Here is a 23,728-nt window from a genome sequence, read left to right as displayed (position 1 = left end):
CTACTGCTGAGCAGCCTCCCTGTGCCTGGGTGCTCTGGGACATGCGATGCCCCAGGCCCCCACTGGATGGTACCTGCACGGGTGTGGCACCTGCACAGGTGTGGCAGCGCCTTTATTTGCTGCTTTGGAGCTACACCTCAAGCACATTTGGTATCAAGCCTTCTATCTATTTCCAAAAGGTTGTCTTGTGAAGATGAGGCTTTTGGGTCCATTTTCTTTTACTCAAAGCCAAGATACTATAGAAATCTCTTCCCTGGACCTACTTGCCAGTTCACTGTGAGGTCTAAGGAGATGTCAATGGTGGAGAAACTGCACCTTTCAAGAAAGAGCCTAAGGTGGAATTTTTCTCTTGCTTCCGTCTGATCCTCCTTTTCATGTTCTCAGTAACATGTGGAATCCATCTGCATCAAAATCATCTTTATATCTTTCGTAAAATTAATACCCAAAGATATATGCATAAGAATGCAATCACCACTATATCCTATGATTTTATGTTGGTGTGTTGTACAGAGTATTTAAAAAATAAAAATGAGCTGGCATTCATATATTTATAAACTCTCAATTTCCTTTCCCAGGACTTCCCTTTTGTGAATTCTTGCCCCCTTTATCTACCATTCCACCAGTCTAACGTTGGGCACAGTCATGTTACACACAGTTATAGGAAAATATCTGTGGATATCACTCTGAAAAGTGAGAAAAAACAGGAAGAAAGCTTAATGCTCAATAAACTGTAACTCAAAACATGATATGCTTTCTACTTCTCAGTGGATGGGTCACTGAGCCGGCCCACATATTGGCAGATACACTTGTTGTTTCTGTCAATTAAGTCGTTGAGGATGAAAGTAAAGGTTGACTTTAAAACAACATTTAAAGGCATGTTTGTGCCTTATTTAAGTGCTGCCTCCGGTTTTACGCGTGCCTGCTTTAAACTAATTGTCTCCATTCAAACAAACCTGCACATTGTGCACATGTACCCTAAAACTTAAAGTATATTTAAAAAAAAGGGTCTTTTGGATTCTGGAAGCTTCTCCACAGCTTGCCAAACACAATTCTGGGCAGGGAGGGCAGTGGTAGCATGTCACCAAGGCGTGTGCCCAAGAATAAATAGGGACCTTAGGTTGGAGGCAGTGTGTCAAATATGGTCATAAGGCAGAAACTAAAAAGAGCCACGAGCAGCAGTGCTACTGACTAATGGGGGAGGCAAGAGCCAGCCTTGTGGAGAGGCCAGATCAACTTGCCCACCAGCCTGACCCAGGACAGACCCTCATTCGTGACTGTCCCATGATGTCAGGGACCATCGTCCTCCCCCATAGAGGCTGCCCCTAGGGGGTGAGAGATGAGGTCCTTCTTTATAGACCCTCCTTTTGCAGTCCCCAAAAACTGCCCCCCTGCTAAGCACACACACACATTGTGGCCAGCCTGGGCTGTGGGTTGGTCAGACTGGGGTCCAACCCAGCTAACCTCTGAGTATGAGTTTTTATAAAATGGGATTAAAGGCGAGGGTGAGAGGGCAAGACAGAGGTGGAAGCACATCTGTGGCACAGCTGGATGCTGGTTTTTCTTCCTGCCTGCTCTTTCTCTCTGAGCCAGAAGATAGCTCAGGCTTTGTCTCCTCAGCAGACGCTGACCAACTCCCTGCCTGCATCAGGGAAGCCTCTTCAGTCCTGAACAAGAGAGCCTATCCTAACTGCGCCGGGCCTCAGTTTTCCCTGCTGAGATCGAGATGCCATGGAATCTTCTTTGGGTCCCAAGGAGCCACTGGTTTCCTCCAAGAATGGAGTGTGTTGAGTCTTGCAAACCCCATGTTCCCAGATCTGCCACTAAGGGCTGGCAAGAGCTCTACTTGCAGACGTGCCACTTGCCCTTGGGTTTCGCTCTCCATTTCTTCAGCTCATCTGGGAAATGGGCTTCTCTATCCCTTACTCCCCTACTTCCCAGCAGCTCTCATCCCCCATGAACTATTTACATCCACATGAAATAGGCCACCCTAGTAGGGCAAGCCTTCTATACATTTGGGTAAATTCATTTTTTGCAAACTTGACTTCTACCAGACTTCCTAAATGAGTCCTGACCCTTTCTCCTACCTTGAATATTTGAAAACACAAGTTACATGGTGGCGGTCTGCCAACAGTGACTGTGTAAAAGACTATTTTGTCTAAAAGCACTTGAATTTCAGGTCGTGAAAACACTGTGTAAATGCAATGTCATATTGGAACTTTGTTCCCTTATTTTTAAAAATGTCTGTTATGAAACCAGTGAAAACTGTGCTAATATCAGATATATTGCATCTTCATTTGTGTATTGCAGGCAATATGGTTGTTATTTGTAGATAATGTAGATAAGTTTAATCTACATTATCTCTGTTGTGCAAGATTTTTTTTTCTATAACTCAACTTTGAGACCCCATTCTATTGGGGTGGTAGAAATGTAGTCTAACAATTTGGGTTTTGCCAACCTTTCTAGGGTTCTATTTAATCTAGGGGGAGGAGACAGGGGCTTGATCTATCCAGTACTTAGTTGTCCCTTCAGAGTTCAGACTCTCCTGTTGCATCTCTGTTCTTTGCTTTCCAGGCTTCATGTGTCTCCATTGTTCCCCATTTCTGTTTGGCTCATCTGTAGATCTGGCGACTGCCCTGCATTCATACCCAAGATGCATTCTACCCCTTCCTACTCATGCTCACTGGGCTTGGGCAACCCCATGAGGCTAAGTGCTTGGATGCTTGGAGTGTTTAGCTAGTCCTGCACCTCACTGGGGCCCTGGGAGCTCTGCAAGGCTGCCTTGGGCCCTCAAGCAAGAAGCCGACCACGCAGACACTTCTACTCTGGCTCTTGCAGCTTCGTTACCATCTACCTGGGGCCAGGTCTCTGCTGTTTCAAGGCTCCAGCTGTCCTGCACTCCTTGTCAGCACCTCTGAGGCTTGGTGTGGGTTGGACACCAGTGCCACCCTTTGCTCAGAGGCCACCTATATCTTAGCTGCTATTATTTTCAATCTGATTTCTCTTCTCTCTCCAGTCTGGGGAATCTCTTTCTTTCCTGGGTGGTAGGAGTTGACAGTCTTTTACTTGGGATCTAGACTTCTGAATCTCCAAAGCATTCTCATGGCTTTCGGCTGTAAGATTACCTGCCTGAGTTGATGAAGTCTACTCTCTTGGTTTCTCAAATAGAGAAGGATAAAATGTCCCAGCAAATATGGAAACATCATGTCAGTTAACTCCGAAAAGTGTTATCTGAGACTAATTATTTTTATTTTCCATTAACTCTGTTTATTCAATGATCACTTTTAAATGTCTGCTTCCTGGTGGAAATGTACTAAGATCTGAGGAACAAAGATGACTATCACATAATACCTCATCTCTTTGAGGCCTAACAATTCAAGGATGGAATGAGGAAGAAATAAACTGTCTACAATATGAAAGGCTTGATCAAGTGTAAATGCAGGTGAGATCACACGCCATCCAAGCATGTGTTTTGTGGGTATGTTTGTGGCTCAGGAACTGCTGTGACTGGAATTTCAAATGACTACTTGTACTACTAATATGAAATGATGGGGTCATATTTCTCAAAGAGGTTGAGCAATACCATGTACACATTCCGTTTTAAACATTGATGATGGGCCCCTCTGTCACTCATGATTTACATGAAAACTCCATCCGTAGGTAAACCAGTGTGAAAACAAGTCTTCTATGGAGAATGCATGGTGCTAATTAGCACTTTCTTATCAAAAGGAAAATGGCTTGGTGAAGCTTTCGTGTTCAGCTTCTCTGTTGAGAAGTCCCAGTTTTAAATTTGGGAAATCCATAAGCCATCATCCTCAGTTGGTGCTAGTGTGTCTGGAATTGGTGGGTTCTTGGTCTCACTGACTTCAAGAATGAAGCCGCGGACCCTCGCGGTAACTATTACAGCTCTTAAGGTGGCGCGTCTGGAGTTTGTTCCTTCTGATGTTTGGATGTGTTCGAAGTTTCTTCCTTCTGGTGGGTTGGTGGTTTCGCTGGCTCAGGAGTGAAGCTATAGACCTTCACAGTGAGTGTTACAGCTCATAAAGGCAGTGTGGACCCAAAGAGTGAGCAGCAGCAAGATTTATTGCAAAGAGTGAAAGAACTAAGCTTCCACAGTGTGGAAGGGGACCCGAGCGGGTTGCCACTGCTGGCTCGGACAACCTGCTTTTATTCTCTTATCTGGCCTCACCCACATCCTGCTGACTGGTAGAGCCCAGTGGTCTGTTTTGACAGGGCGCTGATTGGTGCATTTACAATCCCTGAGCTAGACACAAAGGTTCTCCACCTCCCCACCAGATTAGCTAGATACAGAGTGTCAACACAAAGGTTCTCCAAGTCCCCACCAGAGTAGCTAGATACAGAGTGTCGATTGGTGCATTCACAAACCCTGAGGTAGACACAGAGTGCTGATTGGTGTGTTCACAAACCTTGAGGTAGACACAGAGTGCCAATTGGTGTATTTACAATCCCTGAGCTAGACATAAAGGTTCTCCAAGGCCCCACCAGAGTAGTTAGATACAGGGTGTCGATTGGTGCATTCACAAACCCTGAGCTAGACACAGGGTGCTGATTGGTGTGTTTACAAACCTTGAGCTAGATACAGAGTGCCGATTGGTGTATTTACAATCCCTGAGCTAGACATAAAGGTTCTCCAAGGCCCCACCAGAATAGCTAGATACAGAGTGTCCACTGGTGCATTCACAAACCCTGAGCTAGACACAGGCTGCTGATTGGTGTATTTATAATCCCTTAACTAGACATAAAGGTTCTCCACGTCCCCACCAGACGCAGGAGCCCAGCTGGCTTCACCCAGTGGATCCCGCACTGGAGCTGCAGGTGGAGCTGCCTGCCAGTCCCGTGCCGTGTGCCTGCACTCCTCAGCCCTTGGGTGGTCGGTGGGGCTGGGCGCCGTGGAGCAGGGGGCGGTGCTCGTCGGGGAGGCTGGGGCCGCACAGAAGCCCACGGGGGCGGATGGGGGAGGGGCGGTGCTCAGGCATGGCGGGCTGCAGGTCCCGAGCCCTGCCCCGTGGGGAGGCAGCTAAGGCCTGGCGAGAAATCGAGCGCAGCGCCGGTAGGCCGGCACTGCTGGGGGACCCAGTACACCCTTCACAGCTGCTGGCCCGGGTGCTAAGCCCCTCATTGCCCAGGGCCAGCAGGGCCAGCAGGGCCAGCCGGCTGCTCCAAGTGCGGGGCCTGCCAAGCCCATGCCTACCCAGAACTCCCACTGGCCCACAAGCTCCGCGCGCAGCCCCGGTTCCCGCTCGCGCCTCTCCCTCCACACCTCCCTGCAAGCTGAGGAAGCCGGCTCCGGCCTTGGCCAGCCCAGAAGGGGGCTCCCACAGTGCAGCAGCGGGCTGAAGGGCTCAAGTGCCGCCACAGTGGGAGCCCAAGCAGAGGAGGCGCCCAGAGCGAGCAAGGGCTCGCTGTCACCACTGCCAGCACGCTGTCACCTCTCACTAGGATGCCATCACCTAGTTCACCCCCTTCTCTCAGGAGTCCCCCTCATCACCTGTACACTACGGATTTTAGGCAGCTCGGTGACTCAGGTGGCCCATGTGGCTGCTGGTTACCAAATCACAGAAGCACAGCACCAATGTGTTTCAAATGGGCTGCCCCACAAAATGCCTCCAGTATTTCCAGGGCTTAATGCACACACTTGCATGGTTCTATAATGCTGAATTGACTGATTTAGTCATTGCTTCTGGAAGAATTACATTGCAACCAGGATTTTCTCCTAAATTGTAAAGTCATTTGAGAGAAGTGCCTCCATACCCACTTTCTGACTCTGCTCCCAGTGTCCAGCCAAGTGGGTACACATGAATATGCCCTGAAGCCACACACCAGAGAAGACTTGCTCAAAGCTCTCCCAAGGAAAACTCATATTTGTTGAAGAAATGAAGTCATTCCTGTGCTCCACCTGGCTCTGTGACATCAGAGATTTGTCAGTTATTACCGTAATCTGCACAGGAATAGGATACAATGTGTCTCAGTGGTTTCCTGGAAAATGCTTTATCTTATTGGTAGATTTTCTTAAGGACAACATAAAGACTACATTTGCAGTCCCTACATGGTGGGATAGGATATAAAATGGATTTTTGTCTTGGAAATAACAGTTGGGAGAAAAGTTTATTTTAGCATGTTAAGTATACTATTTATGTTCTATTTCATTGCAAAAGAACAGGGAAAATGACCTTAAAGGATATAATAATTCAACATAGTAAAAAAAAAAAAAAAAAAGAAAGAAACATCTAAGAGAGGCATTTTTAAAAGGCCAAATAAAGATTAAAGGGTCTGAAGTTAAAATAGAGCCAGAAAAAAAGGTTGCCTTGCTGGCCATACAGCCTTGTATGTGGTGGAAGGTGGGCCACAAATATGGTTCTTGGCCTAATGTGGCCGATGGGAAGATGCAAATGAAATCAGCCACAGTTGCATTTCAATAAGGCATGCACTGGTCAGTTTCTCAGGAATTGAAGACTGTTCTTCCTGACACTGAAACATGAGCTGTTCCTTAAGTCTTCACGAAGAAGCCCTTTTGCAAAGTGATCAATGCAATTCTCAACTACATCCCCACATCCCAACAGGAGAAAGACTGAGATGGCTCCATCTTCCACAGGTCATAGGTCACAGGGTCATCCCAAAGGAACAATGAGGAAGAACAAAGAAAGAGCCCTCTGCCTTATTTCGGTGACATTGGGACCAATGTCCAAGCGCTACTCCTTTCTCCCTGGATCCAGTGCAAAGCTCCTCCCAGGACTAAGAGAGCAAAGAGCAGCTGGGAGCCTTGTGCCCGGCAGCACAACTGGTCATCATGCCAGCCAGGTGCATTCACCCCTGATGAGGGTCACTAGCATCACCAGGTGCACCAGAAAGCTGAGAGCCTGCGAGGGCATGGCCAGTGGGGCCAGCTGAGTTGCCAATGGCGGCTCATCCCTGCACCCAAGTGCCCTGGCACACCCCTGCCTCTCCTTGGCAGTGAGGGTGGGCATCTCCCCTCTTCCTGGCACTGCACACCTGGGAGTGATCCTAATGGAAGGAGCCCTGGGAAGGGGGAGTGTTTGTCAGATATTGTCCATGACTGGCCAGTCATGGGGAACAGGTGTGGCAGGAGTTGAGGAGTTGAGAGGAGTTGGCCTCATCTCTTCAAATTTATTGTCTTCTCTTTATAAAAATGTGCTGTTGGGCCCATGCAACACAATGTGAAGACAGGTAATAAGCTTTTGCCCCGCAGTCCACAATTATCAGTGCACTCTCCCCTCGGGAAAAGACTAGAAGCCCACGATAATGAAGTGGTAGAATCTAGGCACCTTAGCTATAGACCTTGGCTGCATTTTGACAGAGAACAGGCCCAGTCTTCATGGCAACAACAGAGAACCACCAAAACTCTTCCCAAGATTTAAGAAATTGAAAAATGTCAATCCATCTGCAAGCTGGATTAGCAAGCTGGGAACCCCGGGAACAGCAGATGGTGACAAGCTCCCAAATGCCAATATGACCCTAGACTGAAATATTTCTGTGCTCGCTCTCCATCTCCATCCTGCTTTCACTCTATCCATCTGCTTTAGAGGCAGGTTGCCCACTCAAGAATTAGGCACAATCTTTGAGGCAGGGTGTTTGTCATGCAGCAGAGGCTTCTTAGTGGTAAGCTCCTCTGTCTGACCATTTCACAGCCTAAATGACCACTTCCATGTAAGCAGTAAGGGCAAAGCAGAGCCGATGGCAGCCGTCTAGGGCTTCATCTGGAGTGATGGTGCCAGGCATATTCCAAGCCCAATTATTCAGCCTTGGCAACAGTATGGGTTGTGAATATGCTTGCTCAAGTGTTTTGAACATTCTAAATACCAGGAGGTATTTTTCTGTAGTAAGCTGAGATGGCTGTGTGAGGGATCAGTAATGCAGAAAATAGCTCAGGCAATGGAAAGGAGGAAGATAACATAGCTACTGAATACAAGTAAAAAGAATATGGAGATCTAAACTTTTGCTTTGCAAGTTGAGACTGACCCACAATGCTGAAGCTTAGCATTTCACTTTCTAAGAATAATACTCCACAACAACCCCTGCTCCAAAGGACATGGAAAGAGAACATTTTGTCTCCAAAGAGATCCATTGGGTTTCTCCAGAAACCAGCAAATTTAACCTTTCCATTTTACGTAGATTACATCTAAACTTCCAGATAGTGTTAGTACAATGTAGATTTATCAGTTATCTATTGGTATGTAAAAAATTACCTTAACTTAGTAGCTTAAAATGACAGCATTTATTATTTCACTGTGTCTATGGGTCAGGAATCTGGGCACAGTTAAGTTGGGTGCAGAAGCTCTGAGTCTTTCATGAGGTTGCAGTCAGAGACATGGTGGCCTCAGGGGTCCCCTGTGGGGGGTCCTCTTGGCAGCGGTTCCTCCTGGGCTGTTGGATTGAGGGCCTCAGGTCCTTACCAGCTGTTGGCCAGAGACCATCATCATCATCAGTTCCTTTACCCTTAGGTTTACAAAATGGCAGCTTGCTCCATCAGAGTGAGCAAGTAAGAAGAGAGAGAGAGAGATTAATAAGGAAGAGTCTTTTAAAACATCTTCTCAGAAGTAGCAAGTTAAGTTACTGGTCTGGCCACCTATAAGGAGGTAGGGTTTCTTGGGAACTATGTTAGAAGCTGCCTGGAACAGAAGTTAGTCAATATTTGACTGTTGACTATTACTATTGCTTATTAGGTTTTATTTTGGATAAGTTGAAGGTAGTATAGTAGAAAAAGTAGATATTTTTGGAAAATACATGAAATTTTATTGAAATGAAATATTGAGCCTATTTCATAAATAATACTCAAATAATATCATATTTGCTTTTCCTTTAATTTCCTACTTTCCAATTACCCAAAGTAAGAGAAATCCTCTAAGCAGTTAAACTGTCAATTAATTTGCAATATTCAATATCACTTGCAGTTGTCAACTAAAAATGTCCAAAAATATATTTGTCACAATCCAGTAACACATTTGTAGGAGGTGAGCTAGGAAGAGAAAAAAGTCCAGCAATGCTGCAAATGATGATGATGATAACACCTTTAAAAGGTTCTATTCATTCAGCGCCTACTGTGGGTTAGTCAGGACACCAGGGACTTTCACACAGGCTTTTGTTTCACTCTTATATAATGCTGTGACTTAGGATTGGCCATACTTCCCAGATGAAGAGTTGACCCTTGGGAGAGTTAAGATCAAAGCTGGCTAGCAGCACCGGGGAACACCCACCTGACTCCAGATCCTGTAGCTTGAAGTGTCATGCTCCATGTTTCTGGTTTCAGAATGTACTTTCATATACCACTTTCTTCTGGACCATTTTAAAGGGATCAAATGCATGTAAAAATGTAAGCAGCCTTCATGCCACACATAGTAACTTCACAAGAACCCTCAAAGATAGACTATGGAGAGCCCCTTTGCCCTTTGCTGGCATGTGCTTTGCTCCTAGCCTGTCAGAGAATTTTTGCCAAAAAAAAGGCTTGATCAGCTATCTATTTATATAGGTAAGCAGGTTGCACATGGGCAAGGGAAACCTCGCGTCTCGCAGTTCTTAGCTACTGCCCTGCAGCAGGCAGGGTGGGCGCTGCAGCAGCCCTAGTGGAACAGCACATCATGTTCTAGATTTTCCAGCATTGCAGCAGCTGAGGCATCTGTCTAATGGAATGTGACAAGAGAAATGGGCACAGCAGCCCTCCAAGTGCAGCATGGCACTCCTGGGGCTCCCTGGAAAATGCTAGGGTGGAAAGAAAATCTGGAAACCTTCGAGATGCAGAGGTTTTAAAATTCCTCACTGAGTGAATCTTCAAGGTAGACTGCTTCTCTCTGCTCCTTCCCTCTCATCTGTCCTTGTTGATGCCCCACCTTGAGGAACTCTGCTCTCCGTAGCTCATCCTTTCCTGCCAGGGAAGGTTGAAACAGTTTCCAAGTCAGTTCATACATTCCTACTGCAGACAGGTGCAGTTCCCCACCCTTTCCTGCAGTCACTCTCTTTCTCGTCAGACTCTTAATCCTTCCAGCCTGAGATGGAGCAGACTTCGCTTCCCCTTGGCGTTAGGCTTGACTGTGTGATTTTCTTTGGCCTAAGGAATGTGGGTTGAAATGACAGTGGGTCAGTCCTGGCCTTAGGCCTTCAGAGGTACATTCCACATTTCCGTTTGCTCTCTTGCTTCCTGCCATTGCCATGAGAAGATGTCCCAACTTGCCCACCATTCCACAGAGGGTGAGAAACTCACTGAGTAGATGTGAGCCCACCCTGTGGCTTAAAGCCATGCCCAGGAAAGCCCAGCCCAGACTAGCCAAATTCTACAACCCGCAGATCCACGAGAGTAAGTGCTTTTTGTTGAATGCTACAGAGATTTTTGTGGTTGGTTGGCATACAGCAAGAGCTAAATAATATACTAATCAATTTTTAATAATCAACTATTTAACTGCCTCTCCAGTTTGGGGTATTTGGAGCCATAAAAATGGAAGAATATTCTTAGGGAAATGTTGAGTAAGATGAGATCTAAATAAGGAATCTTAGGAAACTCACATTTAAAAGGTGAGTAGAGGAAGAAAAAGAAAGAAAGGAAAGCCAAAGAGGAGTGGTCATGAAGGCAAGAAAAGAAAATAGCATAGAGGGGTAGTTTGTTTTTGTTTTTGTTTTTTTTTTTTTTTTTTTTGAATCGGAATCTTCGCTCTGTCGCCCAGGCTGGAGTGCAGTGGTGCGATCTCGGCTCACTGCAAGCTCCGCCTCCCAGGTTGACGCCATTCTCCTGCCTCAGCCTCCTGAGTAGCTGGTACTACAGGCGCCCGCCACCACGCCCGGCTAATTTTTTTTGTATTTTTAGTAGAGACGGGGTTTCACCGTGGTCTCGATTTCCTGACCTCGTGATCCGCCCGCCTCGGCCTCCCAAAGTGCTGGGATTACAGGCGTGAGCCACCGCGCCCGGCCAGAAGTGTAGCTTTTTAAGCAGCAGCAGGAAGCCAGAAGAGTCCAGTGCTGCCACTGACTCAAGCAAGATGAATAATTAAAAAAGTCCTGTTGGATGTCCCATTTAAGGAAGCACTGGGGCCTTTTGCCAGAATAGTTTTCAGTGGAAGAGTGGAGACCCAGGCTTGGTAACAGTGAATTGCAGGGTAGACAAAAGCGAGGAAGTGGGGAGAGTGAAGAGTGAAACAAGTATTGCTTCTAGGTTTTTTGTTAAAACAAATTTTACATCTCCGAAGGTTGCAAAACCAAAAATAGTACAAAGAACATCCTTACAGTCTTTACCCAGAATCACTTGTTTTTAACCCATTTGATTTATCATTTATGTTCTCTCAATCTCTCTCTCTTTCTCTGTGTACACACACACACATACACAATTTTTTTCGAATCATTTGCAGATAAGTTATGTGTATCATGGTCCTTCCTACTAAATACTTCAGTGTGTATTTCCTAAAAGTAGAAAAATATCTTTTATTAATATAACCACATACACTAATGATGTTACACTATTGATTTACACACACATTGATGCAATACCTTTAACTAATCCACTGCCCATATTCTAATTTTGTCAGTTAACATAATAATTAATATCCTTTGTAACACTTTTTCTCCAGTACAGGGTTCAGTTCAGAATTGGGCATGGCATTTAGTTGTCATGACTCTTTAGCCTACTTTAATCTAGAACAATTCCATGATTTTTCTTTGCCTTTTAAGACATTGATTTTTTTTTTTAATACAGTAGCCCCTTCACTTTTTAAACAGAATGCTCCCTATTTTATGCTTGACTGAAGCTTCCTTGTGATTGGGTTGAGGTGTGTTATCGGCCATCCCACTGCATAGAAGATACTGTGTCCTCTGTCATCCCTTCTGGAAGCACATACTATGTCCTTCACATGGGTGGTGTAATTTTGACCACCTGGTCAAAAATGTTGCCTCCTTTTCCACTAACTGCCTGATTTGATTTGTTTTGTTTTGTTTTGTTTTGTAGAGATGAGGGTGTCTGTGTTGCTCAGGCTGGTCTTAAACTCCTGGCCTCAAGCAGTCTTCCTGTCTTTGCCTCTCAAAGTGTTGGGATTACAGGTGTGAGCCACTGCACCCAGCCTCTTGGTGCACTTTTATTATAAACAAAATTGAGCATCTTTTCATATGGTTCTAGGCCATGTATCTGTTTCTTTTAATGAATAGTTTTTCATGTGTTTGCCCATTTTTCTGTAGGACTTTTGGTTTTTGATCCTTGATTTTGCAAAGTGCCTTGTACATTAGTGACATTAATTCTTCTATTTGCAATGTATGTTGCAAATTTTTCTTCCATTTTGTCATTTAAAAATTTACTTATGGTGGCTGGGCGCAGTGGCTCACGCCTGTAATCCCAACACTTTGGGAGGCCAAGGTGGGCAGATCACAAGGTCAGGAGATCAAGACGATCCTGGCCAACACGGCGAAACACCGTCTCTACTAAAAATACAAAAAAAAAAAAAAAAATTGCTGGGCATGGTGGCGTGTGCCTGTGGTCCCAGCTACTCAGGAAGCTTAGGCAGGAGAATTGCTTGAACCCGGGAGGCAGAGGTTGCAGTGAGCCGAGATCAAGCCACTGCACTCCAGCGTGGCAACAGAGTGAGACTCCATCTAAAATAAAAAATAAAATAAAAAGAAATTTACTAATGGTGTAGTTATTCCATACAACCTTTTTTAAAATTTTAATTTATGCAAACAAACATATTAGTATTTTATTGCATTTAAATTTTAAGTCAGACCTAGCCTTTTACTATATACATAGGTTGTAGAAGAATTTATTTTTTTCTAGTATATGTCCTTTTATTTTTACATTTACATTTCTGATTCATTCAGAGTTCATTCTTATGTAGGGTTTGACGGATGGATCTACTTTTATGTTTTTCCAAATGGAAATTCTTTTTTTTCATCTTTTCCTTGACATTTTATTGTTTCTTTGATGTCAGTCTATTCATGTGCCAGTGCCACTCTGTTTTAATTGTGGGAAGTCTATATTATGTTTTAACATCTGGTAGCGGTATTATCCCTTTCTCACCCCCACCAAGTTATTCCTTTTTGATGTGTTCCTAGATATTCTTGTGTGTTGTTTTCTAATGTGTCTGTCTCCATTAAAAAGCTCCTTAGAATTTTTGTTGGTCTTGCACTACATTTATAAATTAGGGAGAACTGACATCTTGATAACACCGAGACCTCCAAATCAAGAGCAAGGGGTCTCTCCACTTATTCTAGTTTACTGTTGTGTTTCTGCAGGCTCCTTATTCCCCCTTCTTAAGTCCTTCTTTCCCGTCTCTGTCTCATCTCCAAGGAACATCAGATCTTTTCTTTAGATCTGATTATCCCCCACAAGTAGTATGTTCTGAGGCCACCCCTTCTGGCCCCACCCACTCTCCAGTGCCTTCCTATGCATCTCCAAGTCCTGACTGGTATTGGGTTGTTTTGCATTGTCTATTTCATTTCCTCTTTCTAGGGTGAGTTTGTGCTTCCTCGTGGCCCTCTGCTCCCTCTGTTTATTTTCTTAGCTCTTTTCTGCTTCCCTCTCTGCTCTCTGCATCCACAGGCTCTTAGCAGCTATGAGTAGGTGGTGAGAGTTCTGTTGGAATTTGTTACTTTCAGGCAATTTGAAGGTTGCAGTGTTCTCTGTTGTCTGGTCATGCTGAAGGCATGAGTCCTGTGTGGTTTTATCTGTCTTCCGTATCGATCGTATGGCTGGTTTGGTAGGCAGGCTGAGACTCAGAATTAGCTCACCCTCGTCTTCTAAACCCTGAGGACCATATTTTAACAAGCTTGACTTCTAGGTAAATCCAGAGCTGGATTTCAAGTCAAAAGTTGTCATTTTTTCCCCTTCAGAGAAAGACTTATGCATGATCATAGATTACAGTACAAAGAGAAGGTACAAATTCAGCTTATGAGGAATTCTGTACCCCTAGAGAAAAGGGCTTGTTTGGAGAAATTTTGAGAGCAGAAATGGGGGAACTCATTAGTCTAGGTTTGGGTGATTATGAGAAAAAGAGGTTTGGAAGTAACTGTAAGCATATATATATATATATATAATATATGTACTGTTTACAGACTTGGTAGAATCTGGATTGGCTGAAATCGATTGTTGTCTCTGGGTTTTGTCCCACTATATTGTTGTAGGACTTTCTCCTTAGTTAGCTAAAAGCAGGGTCCTTGTCACACAACCATGAAAAATTAGGCTCAGAGACACTTTGAAGGGTGAGAAAAGCAGGGTTTATTGGGTGAAAAGGGAAAAAAGGGAAACAGGGACTCTCAGCAAAACCAGAGTCCTGCTAGCTGGCTTCCTGCCTCACAGATTGAATCCCAGTTTCCCCACCCCAGAACAAGAGAGGCCAGGCTCCTCCCTGCTGCAAAATGGCACAGACTTCCCGAGGCTCCTCCCCAGCGCACATTCCTCCCAGTGACCAGGCTGGTTGAAGTTTCTCCAGGGACCTCTTTACACTTGCCTGTCTCAATACTAGAATAATTTGGGTACCTAAGTCACATTGTATTGAAGCCAATGTGATAGCCACAAAGAGATGGAGCAGAGGAGCTAGAGAGTCCTCTCTCCACCTTCCACGCCTTGGTAATTGGCAGTAAAAGAGTATGTGTCACTCCATTTGGAGGCTCCGAAATAACATAATCGTATGTAGCTGGTTTTTTGTGGCCTCTGAAGGCTGAAGTATATAAACAGGAAATGGCTTTACTTTTCTCCCACTTATATTTCAATCTTGCTCTGTTGGCTTTCCCTTCCCTGCTCACTGAAGGCATCTCAGGGAGATTCGTTCATAGCCTTCTTGATGCTCTGGCTCAGTTTGTAAGAGGAGATTCACTGTCAGGTATTAACAATCTAGGTAGAGGGAAAGCTTCAGTCTCCCATCCAGTTCAAAGCTCTTCTGTTCCCTGGCTTGGGGTCTCCTTCCTTCTCCTCACCTCTCTAGGGCAGGGGTTGGGGGAAAACAGACTGGAGGAAAGAGGACAAGTCTCCTGTACATGAGGCTGTTGAAACCCACCTGTCCTGTCCCCTATGCATGTGGCTGGTCCCCAAAGCTGGCACTCCCTTGGGAGCACCTTTGTGGTTGCCTAGTGGCCCCGCAGAAGCCTCTCCAAATAAATCAATAAGCTGTATGGAGGGCCTTTTGCAGTTCTCCTCTGTTGTTGCTTCCAATGGCCTCATACCCACAGCCTCCTGGTGCTGGGAGCCCTCAGTCCAGCAGGCTGCCCAATTGGGTGGGTGCTTTCAAACTGTGAGGTTCAACCACCTGCTGTAGCATCCCCAAGTGCATCCTCGGTCCCTGGCTTTTATGGTGCACTGCTCCTGCCAGTTTCCCATCTTCAGAATTATTCAGAATAGGAGAGGCAGCAGTCTCTGCTTCCATATGCCCCAAATTCCTAGACACACACACACGTTTAGTTCTTTCAGGAGCTCCCTTTACACTTTGTTCAGTCTGTAGTGCACTGGCTGTGCTGGGGAGCAAGGTGCCAATCTCTCCCTCTTGAAGTGTGTGTAGTTTCTTTTGACATATCTTCCTGGAGTCCCCTTTCCTTAGCTTGAAAGAGTGGACGAGCACCCTAGTTCCCTCTCTCATGATGGAGGGAGAATCCACATCAATTCCCCATTGGCTGACAAATTGGCACATCCTGTTTAATGAGCTTTATTTACATATGTGTAGGTGTGTATATAGATACTGTATGTACATATGCACACATAATATAGGTGTATATACATGCAAGTTGCATGTTGCACACATATTGCATGTATCATGCTAGACACAGAGTTCTGTTTCTAGATTGGCTCTTCGATCTTTCAGAAGTGCTGGGAAATGTGTTCAGCACTTTCCTTTGGAACATGAAAGGCTTTTCTTCCATTCTCAATTTAAAGCTTCAGCCAGAATCCCGAACCAGCAGGAATAGTGTCAGCCATATTCTATTACAAACACTTTCTTTTGTTTTTTGTCATCTCTTATGTGCCAATCCCTATTCCAGATAGTTTAATTTATTGTTTCTGATTTTCATATTGATCCTCCAAAGAGAATTTTATGGACCTCCTTTACAGAGCAGAGTACTGCAGGTCAGAGAGGCAAAACATCTTGCCCAAGATCACACATCTGGTGAAGCCGGCCCTGGATATGGTGTAGCACTGGCTGATGACAAAGCCTGCGTTCTGTGCTTCATCACAGCCTCAGATGGTTAGATAACAACATCAGATGCATCTGTTAAACTAAAACAGACTTGGTTCTCCCAAAAGTACTGATTACAAAGTTCAGCTGGGACATTGTGTTTGTTATCATGAACGCTGATGTGGATAACACTATATTCCCTGGAAATGATGGCGATATTATCTACATCCCATTTACAGATGCAATACCAAGTAAAGACTGCAAATGACTGTGCCACAGGGAGGAAAAGCAGTCAACCTGTCTTTAGGGACCTGTTCAAATTTCTGGTGTCTCAGTGGATGTTGATTTCTGACATAAAGCCATTTGTGCACATGAGGAAGATACTGTAGGAGGCATTTGGTGAGTGCTGCAGGCAAGGCTTTCTGCTAGGTGAGAAAATGTGTTCCAGTGTGTAGGACTGTCATCCAATGGCAAAACTAGCCACTGCCATTACATTTATATAATGACATGAAGATATTACTCTATTGGCATTACATAAAATAATTTTAAATAAACAATATGCTTATAATAGAGGTACAAAAGGAATTCTCCTTGCTGAGTTTTTTAATTGTTCTACTTTCTTTGTAGCTGTGAGCCAGTGTTTGGTCTTTAGCTGAAACAGACATTTAGCCATAAACCACCAACCAGAAAGATCGTAAGTGATCAATTTCTCCTGTTATTTTAACTCCCTTGTCTCTCCTAACTGCACCACGTGCATTTTTCCTCACTGACCTTCCAACACATTCCCAGCTTTCATGAGCTTTGTACTTCAGTTATTAAACTACAAAAGAAATGGAGCCAAAAGACTGAAATATATTTCTCAGAAATACAGCTGTGCTAGCAACAGGCACCGCATGTGAAGTATGTCTCTTATCCCACTTCTCCTCATCACATTTCAGCAAATAAATCCTACTCTCTGTGGAACAATTTTGGTGTTAGCACAAAGTAATTCAAAGCAGTGGGGGGTGGGAGTCGCATAATTATGACCAGCAGAAGACGCATTTGCAAAAGCTGTGCCTGAAATGATTTAGTTAGGAAAAAGCTTTGCCAGAAGCCCAGAAAATCCTTCTGTTTCCCCCTAAATTACAAAGCATTTATTCTATTCTATGGTGATTTACATGGTAATTCTGTAAAACTACTTTTGTCTAAGATTATTATGTTTGTCCTCCTCAGTAATAACACGTTGGGATTCATCCGTTTATTTATTCATTCATTTGACAGAATAAGACACGGTTCCTCTTCTGGTGGGCCACATAAAGGAAGTTGTCATGTTCCAACTTAATGTGTGGGTTGAGAGGGATCTGCACAAACGAGCGTCATCGGGGAGAAAAATATATCCCAGTCTGCGTGGTCACGGGGAGCTTCCTGGGCAAGGTGACAGTTGGACTGAGTTAAAGGAGAATGCATTGCTGGGGGGATGGGAGGGCAAGATGTCCTGGTGGAAGGGGGTGGCATGACCAGGGCCAAGTGCATGACCAAGGACATGGAGGATAGAAGGTGGTGGTGTGAGGAAGGTGGGAGGGTGGGTATATTAGTTAGGGTTCTCCAAAGATACAGAAAGATCTGTCTTTCCCACTTGTTCTGTATCTTTGTTCCACATCTTTGGAGAACCCTAACTAATATACCCACCCTCCCACATTCCTTTCATACATACACACACCCATCTGTATGTGTGTAATAAATGGAGGAAGGAGAGAGAGAGACAGCGCACGTGCTAGACACATTTATTTACTTTAAAGAGTTGACTCACATGATGTGCGTGCTGAACAAAATCTGTTGGACAAGCCAGCAGGCTGGAAATTCAGGTATGAGTTGGTGTTGTAGTCTGGAGTCTGAATTCCACATGGCAGGCCAGGCAAGCTGGAAACTCAGGCAGGCTTTCTGTATTGCAGTTTTGAGGCTGAATTCCTTCGTCTATAGAAGCCTCAATCTTCGCTCTTAAGACTGTCAACTGATTAGATGAGTCCCACCTACAAGATGGAAGATAATCTGCTTTAGTAAATTCCACCAATTTAAATGTTAATCACATCTAAAAATTACCTTCACAGCAACATCTAGACTGGTGTTTGACCAAACTACTGGGCACCATACCCCAGCCAAGTCAGCATATAATGTGAACCATCACAGTGGGAGACATGTCACAAAGTGGTAAGACAGCAAGAATTGGTGGTCTGGGCTGGATTCCAGAGAACCTGGACTGTGCCTATGAAGCACCACTGCCCTGTAGACCTGGGATAATAAACACTGATGCCTAAAGGGACCAGGCAGGTAAGATAAATGAGTGAACTGAGACCTGCTTATAGTTGTTAGACACTTTGTTTACATGTTAAAAGATGAAAATATTCTCTAACAAAGAAAGATGTTACCCCACTTTCTATTCCCTCCCTCCCTCCCTCCCTCCCTCCCTCCCTTCCTTCCTTCCTTCTCTCTTTCTCTCTTTTGTTGTGGTGAAAAAAAAAAAACGTTGAACATAAGGCTGGGCACAGTGGCTCATGCCTGTAATCCCAGCACTTCAGGAGGCCGAGGTGGGTGCATCGCCTGAGGTCAGGAGTTCGAGACCAGCCTGGCCAACATGACGAAACCCCAACTCTACTAAAAAAATACAAAAAATTAGCCAGGTGTGGTAGCAGGTGCCTGTAATCCCAGCTACTCAGGAGGCTGAGGTGGGAGAATCTCTAAAACCTGGGAGGTAGAGTTTGCAGCGAGATTGCACCACTGCGCTCCAGCCTGGGCCACAGAGTGAGACTCCATTTCAGAAAATAAATAAATAAATAAATACAACATGAAGTCTGTTCTCTTATCAAATTCTTAAGTATACAATATAGTATTGTAAACTATAAGCACACTGTTGTGCAGCAGATCTCTGGAACTTTTTCTCTTGCGTGACTGAAACTCTAGACCTATCGAACACCTCCCCGTTTCCACCTCCCACCAGCCCCTGGCATCCACCATTCTACTCTGTGCTTCTGTGAGTTTGACTACTTTAGATACCTCATATAACTGAAATCATGCAGTATTTGTCCTTCTGTGATGACTTATTTCGTTTAGTAAAATGTCCTCGAAGTTCATCTGTGTTGTAGCATATTACAGGATTCAGTTCTTTGTAAGGCTGAATAATATTCCATTGTATGGATATACTGTATTTTCTTTATCCACTCACCCATCAATGGACATTTCAGTTGTTTCCACCTCTTGGTTATTGTGAATAATGCTGCGGTGAACATGGGAGTGCAGGTATCTCTTTGAGATCCTGATTTCAGTTCTTTTAGATAAATACTCAGAAGTGGGATTGCTGGATTCCGCTTGGTCATTCTATTTTGAATTTTTTGATGATCTCCATAGTGTTTTTCATAGAGGCTGCATCATTTTACATTTTACATTCCCATCAACAATGCACAAGGGTTTCTATTCTCCGCATTCTGACACTTATTTTCTGTTTTTTAAATATATATAAATATATATCATAAATTATATATAAATATAATTATATATTATATATAATATATTATATATATAATATATATAATCTGGTTATATATATATGTGTGTGTGTGTGTATGCATATATATATAATGACCATCCTAACAGGTGTGGGGTGCTATCTCATTGTGGTTTTGATTTGCATTGCCTTAATAATTAATGATGTTGAGCATCTTTTCATATACTTATTGGCCATTTGTATGTATTCTTTGGAGGAATATTTATTGCAATCCATTGCAAATTTTTTAATCAGGTCATTTGTGGATTGTTTTTGTTTTGTTTTTGGCTATTGAATTGAGTTCCTTATATATTTTAGATATTAGCCTCTTATCAGATGTATGATTTGCAAATATTTTCTCCCATTCTATAGGTTACCTTCTTTCTCTGTTGACTGTTTCCTTAGGTGTGCGGAAACCTTTTCTAGCTTTTTATTTACTAGAGATATTTCAGTCTATCTTTTGTTTGCCCATTTTTGGTAGGGGCAAAGGTTCACAAAACTATGTCTCAGACATAACTAAAGTAATGGTTCATGCAGGGATCAAAAAGTGGCAACTATGACATGTCCTCACTACTATTGGGGGAATTAGAGTGGAGGGCACTCAATGAATTGGAGAGCATACTCTTTGTAAAGGAGACAGCCAATCCTCTGGCCCAGGCCTTGGGTGAGTGGAGGGCACTCGATAAGTTGGAGAGCATACTCTTTGTAAAGGAGACAGCCAATCCTCTCAGTGAGTTGGAGTGCATGCTCTCATAAAGAAGACAGGCAATCCTTTGGCCCAGGCCTTTGGTAGTTGGAAGGCATGCTCTTTGTAAAGGAGACAGCCAATCCTCTGGCCAAGGCCTTGGGTGTTCTGTGGAAATGTGGACCTGGTTGGCAAGATGTTATGATGTCTATTTAACATCTCCCAATTTTGAAACATCAGTTCAAAATATTTCAAAAGACTCCGTGGACCAAAACTCACCTACTGGCAATGCCAGGTCCTCTGCTGTAAGTGGTAGAGACCATTTATGGGTTTTAACCAAGACAGTTTCACAGTAAGTGAATTCATTATCTATCACTGCATAATAAATCACCCCCAAATTTAGTGACTTAAAATAACAAACACTTATTATCTCACATTTTCTATGGGTAAGGAATTAGGGAGCAGATTAGCTGGGTGTTTCCAGCTTCGAGCTTCTCATGAGGTGTTAGTCACAATGTTAGCTGAGGGCTTGACTTGGGTGGGGATTCACCTCCAAGATCACTTGTGCAGCTGTTGGCAAGAGGCATCCATCTTTGCTCTGTGGATCTCTCCAGAGAGTGGCTGAGTATCCTCAAAATGTGGCAGTGGCTGTCCTCAGAGAAGGGATGAGAGAGACCAAGACGGAAGCCACAGTGTCTTTTATCATCTAACCTCAGAAACAAAATCCCACCACTTCTGCCATGTTCTTTTGGCCACACCCAACCAGTGGGAGGGGACTTCATAAGGGTATAAATGCAAGGAGGCAGGAGTCATGGGGGCTTCTTGAAGACTGGCCACCTTACTGAGTACTGGAGTAGCATTGGTATGGAGGGTAGATTTGAGGCAGGGACCTTTTAGGAGGATATTGGTTCAGTAGAATGATGATTTGGGGAATGCAGCAATTAGAAAGAAGAGAAAGAAACTGAACTGGCAGTTACTTAAAAATCAGCGAGGCCCTATAATTGAAACAATGACCCACTTCTAGCCAATGAGTGAGTCTGTGGAAGGTATTTCTGGAAAGGGTTTTCTTTTCTTTTTTTTTTTTTTTTCTACTTTAAGTTCTAGGATACATGTGCGGAATGTGCAGGTTTGTTATGTAGGTATACATGTGCCATGGTGGTTTGCTGCACCCATCAACCCATCATCTGGGTTTTAAGCCCCACATGCATTAGATATTTGTCCTAATGCTCTCCCTCCATGGAAGAAAGAGCTAAAGGATAAAGGCACTCTCACTTCCCTGGTTTCTTCGTGAGTTTCTTGCTTTTGAATATAACTGTGTGGGAGCATGGTGCCTGGAGCTGTGGCAGCTATTTTGTGACAGTGAGGTAAGAAATTATTATGCTTGATGTGGCTGAGTTGGGGAACAGACAGAGCCTGGGTGTTTGGAGATACTGCTGAGCCACCAATCAACCCTAGAACTTTTTGTTACATAGCAATAAATGTCGAGAGTTTAAGTCAGCACAGGTTGGGCATTCCATGACTTTCTCCGGAAAGCATTTCTGACATACACAGGAGAGAGAAAGGCCTTATCTCCAAACCCCAAGATTTAATGATTGAATGCTGGGTGAGATAAAAACTATGAAAGGAAGAGGGCGTAAACCCAGGTAGCAGTCATGAGGACTGAAAAGAAAAAAAAAAAGAGACCATTTGTTTCTGTTTTGTGATAAAGCTTCCATATAAATAGTATGTGACAGACGCTGGTGGAGCTTTTAATCAATGTATGCAAAAGTCAGACTGTGTAAAAGGAGAGACAAAAATCCATTGCCTTATGACATGATTATATTAATTTTCTTTTACTCCCTTTATATGTATTTCTTTATATGGTAAATGGCCCTTGAAGAAAATGGTATCTCCGTTTTTGTAGAAGAAAACCATGTAGGAGAGATGAAAATTAAGTGAACAAAATTGAATCTGCTCTGCGGCACAGCACCTCAAGGATTCTTACTTGAGAACCAAAAGAAAGTGACAGTCTGTGGCCGAACAGGGCCTGCCATCGCTAGGATACGCTCCCTCTGATTTAAGCTGAGTAGCCTGAAAACCTCAGAGCATCTGGTGGTCAGTTAATTTCATTTGAAGAATATTCTACGGGCCCTTCTTTTTTTCCTCTTTGGACTTTGAAGTTTGTTTCATTTTCCTCGGCTGCCTTCAAATGCTGATCTATGCGGCCAGGAGCTTGCGCCGTAAAGACAGAATATTCATAGTTGAGTCCTTTCTGTCTCCTCACTTTCATTAAACGCTAGAGATAAAGCTTCACACTGAGACCCATGAGTCAGCTCATCCAGAAACTCTGGTGAGAAGAAGCTCCAGGCAGAGAGTGGCATGTGTTTGCAGGGAGAGGCTGTGAGCAAAGTGTTGTTCTAGCCAGTGAGTGACACAGGGGCATCTGCAGGGTCTTTGCAGCTCCTGCACAGTAGTTAGCCTCAGTTATTTCGCACCACCTCCCTCCCTGAGTTGTGCTAGGGTTCCATGAGGTTACACAGAACAAAAGCTTGGGGGAGGGCTTGCACCGAGAGCTGCAAAAGTGCCTTTTTGTTTTGTGTTGTTTTGTTTTGTATGAGACAGAGTCTCACTCTGTCGCCCAGGCTAGAGTGCAGTGGTGCGATGTCAGCTCACTGCAACCTCTGCTTCCCGGGTTCAAGCGATTCTCTTGCTTCACCCTACCGAGTAGCTGGGACTACAGGCACACACCACCACGCCCGGCTAATTTTTGTAATTTCACTAGAGACGGGGTTTCCCCATGTTGGCCAGGCTGGTCTTGAACTCCCAACATCAGCACTTTGCTCTGGCTGTGTGTTTTCTTCAGGTCAAATAGTTCTCTGGTCTTTTAAGATGACTTGGGGATGGAAATGTCTGATGGGCCATTGAGAGTCCTGGATGATGAGGATGGGCGTAGCCTGCCTTTGTTCCCTCCTGAGGGTCTGCCATGTCATCCTGGGGTTGGAGGTGTGCTGGGGAGTTGGGAGTCTGCAGGACTCATGGATCTCTTTGTTCCCATCTTCCTGCCTTCTCATTCTTCTCCCAGCTCCACCACCAGCCTGAGGGAATCCTTCCCGAGCCTTCAGAAAAATCCATCTCCTGTTGAGGTTTTGGGTATTTTGTCTCTGCCTAAGATCCTCTCTTGGCTCTGGGGCAGTGACTGCTGTTAGAAATAAGAACCTTAAAGAGCTTAGGATTTTTCTGTCCTTCACTGCATCTCATCTCTATCCTGAGGCAAGAGTAAGCTGAGTAACTAATAAATATGTGTGTGTGCAGGGGACGCTTTGGGATAGAGAGAAATAAAGGGAAGAAAAATATTTTTTAAAAAAACCGCATCATTTAATACTTCAAAATACTCCTTTAATATCAGGGCCAGCTTTCTCCAGCCCTGCCCTGTCGGGGGAGTGGAGG

The 23,728-nt window shown here is 44.2% G+C and overlaps 1 protein-coding gene and 1 long non-coding RNA gene across 2 annotated transcripts in view; both read left to right on the top strand.

Moving 5' to 3' along the window:
* TAS2R1 (taste 2 receptor member 1) overlaps positions 1–23,728 on the top strand; it is a 276,530-nt gene that overhangs the window by 173,298 nt on the left and 79,504 nt on the right. Inside the window, exons 5-8 of the mRNA NM_001386348.1 lie at positions 16,340–16,499; positions 16,728–16,794; positions 17,361–17,513; positions 18,188–18,407. The gene's annotated coding sequence lies outside the window, so the exon portion shown is untranslated. The remainder of the gene's footprint in view (positions 1–16,339; positions 16,500–16,727; positions 16,795–17,360; positions 17,514–18,187; positions 18,408–23,728) is intronic.
* The window catches only part of LINC02112 (long intergenic non-protein coding RNA 2112), a 262,510-nt gene that overhangs the window by 173,246 nt on the left and 65,536 nt on the right, over positions 1–23,728 (top strand). Inside the window, exons 6-9 of the long non-coding RNA NR_027112.2 lie at positions 16,340–16,499; positions 16,728–16,794; positions 17,361–17,513; positions 18,188–18,407. This is a non-coding gene — a long non-coding RNA (long intergenic non-protein coding RNA 2112). The remainder of the gene's footprint in view (positions 1–16,339; positions 16,500–16,727; positions 16,795–17,360; positions 17,514–18,187; positions 18,408–23,728) is intronic.

This window comes from Homo sapiens, chromosome 5, assembly GCF_000001405.40.
Source record: "Homo sapiens chromosome 5, GRCh38.p14 Primary Assembly".
Classification (NCBI taxonomy): Eukaryota; Metazoa; Chordata; class Mammalia; order Primates; family Hominidae; genus Homo; species Homo sapiens.
The sequence above is the reverse complement of the archived record's forward strand: the minus strand, read 5'-3'. Positions and strand labels throughout refer to the sequence as shown.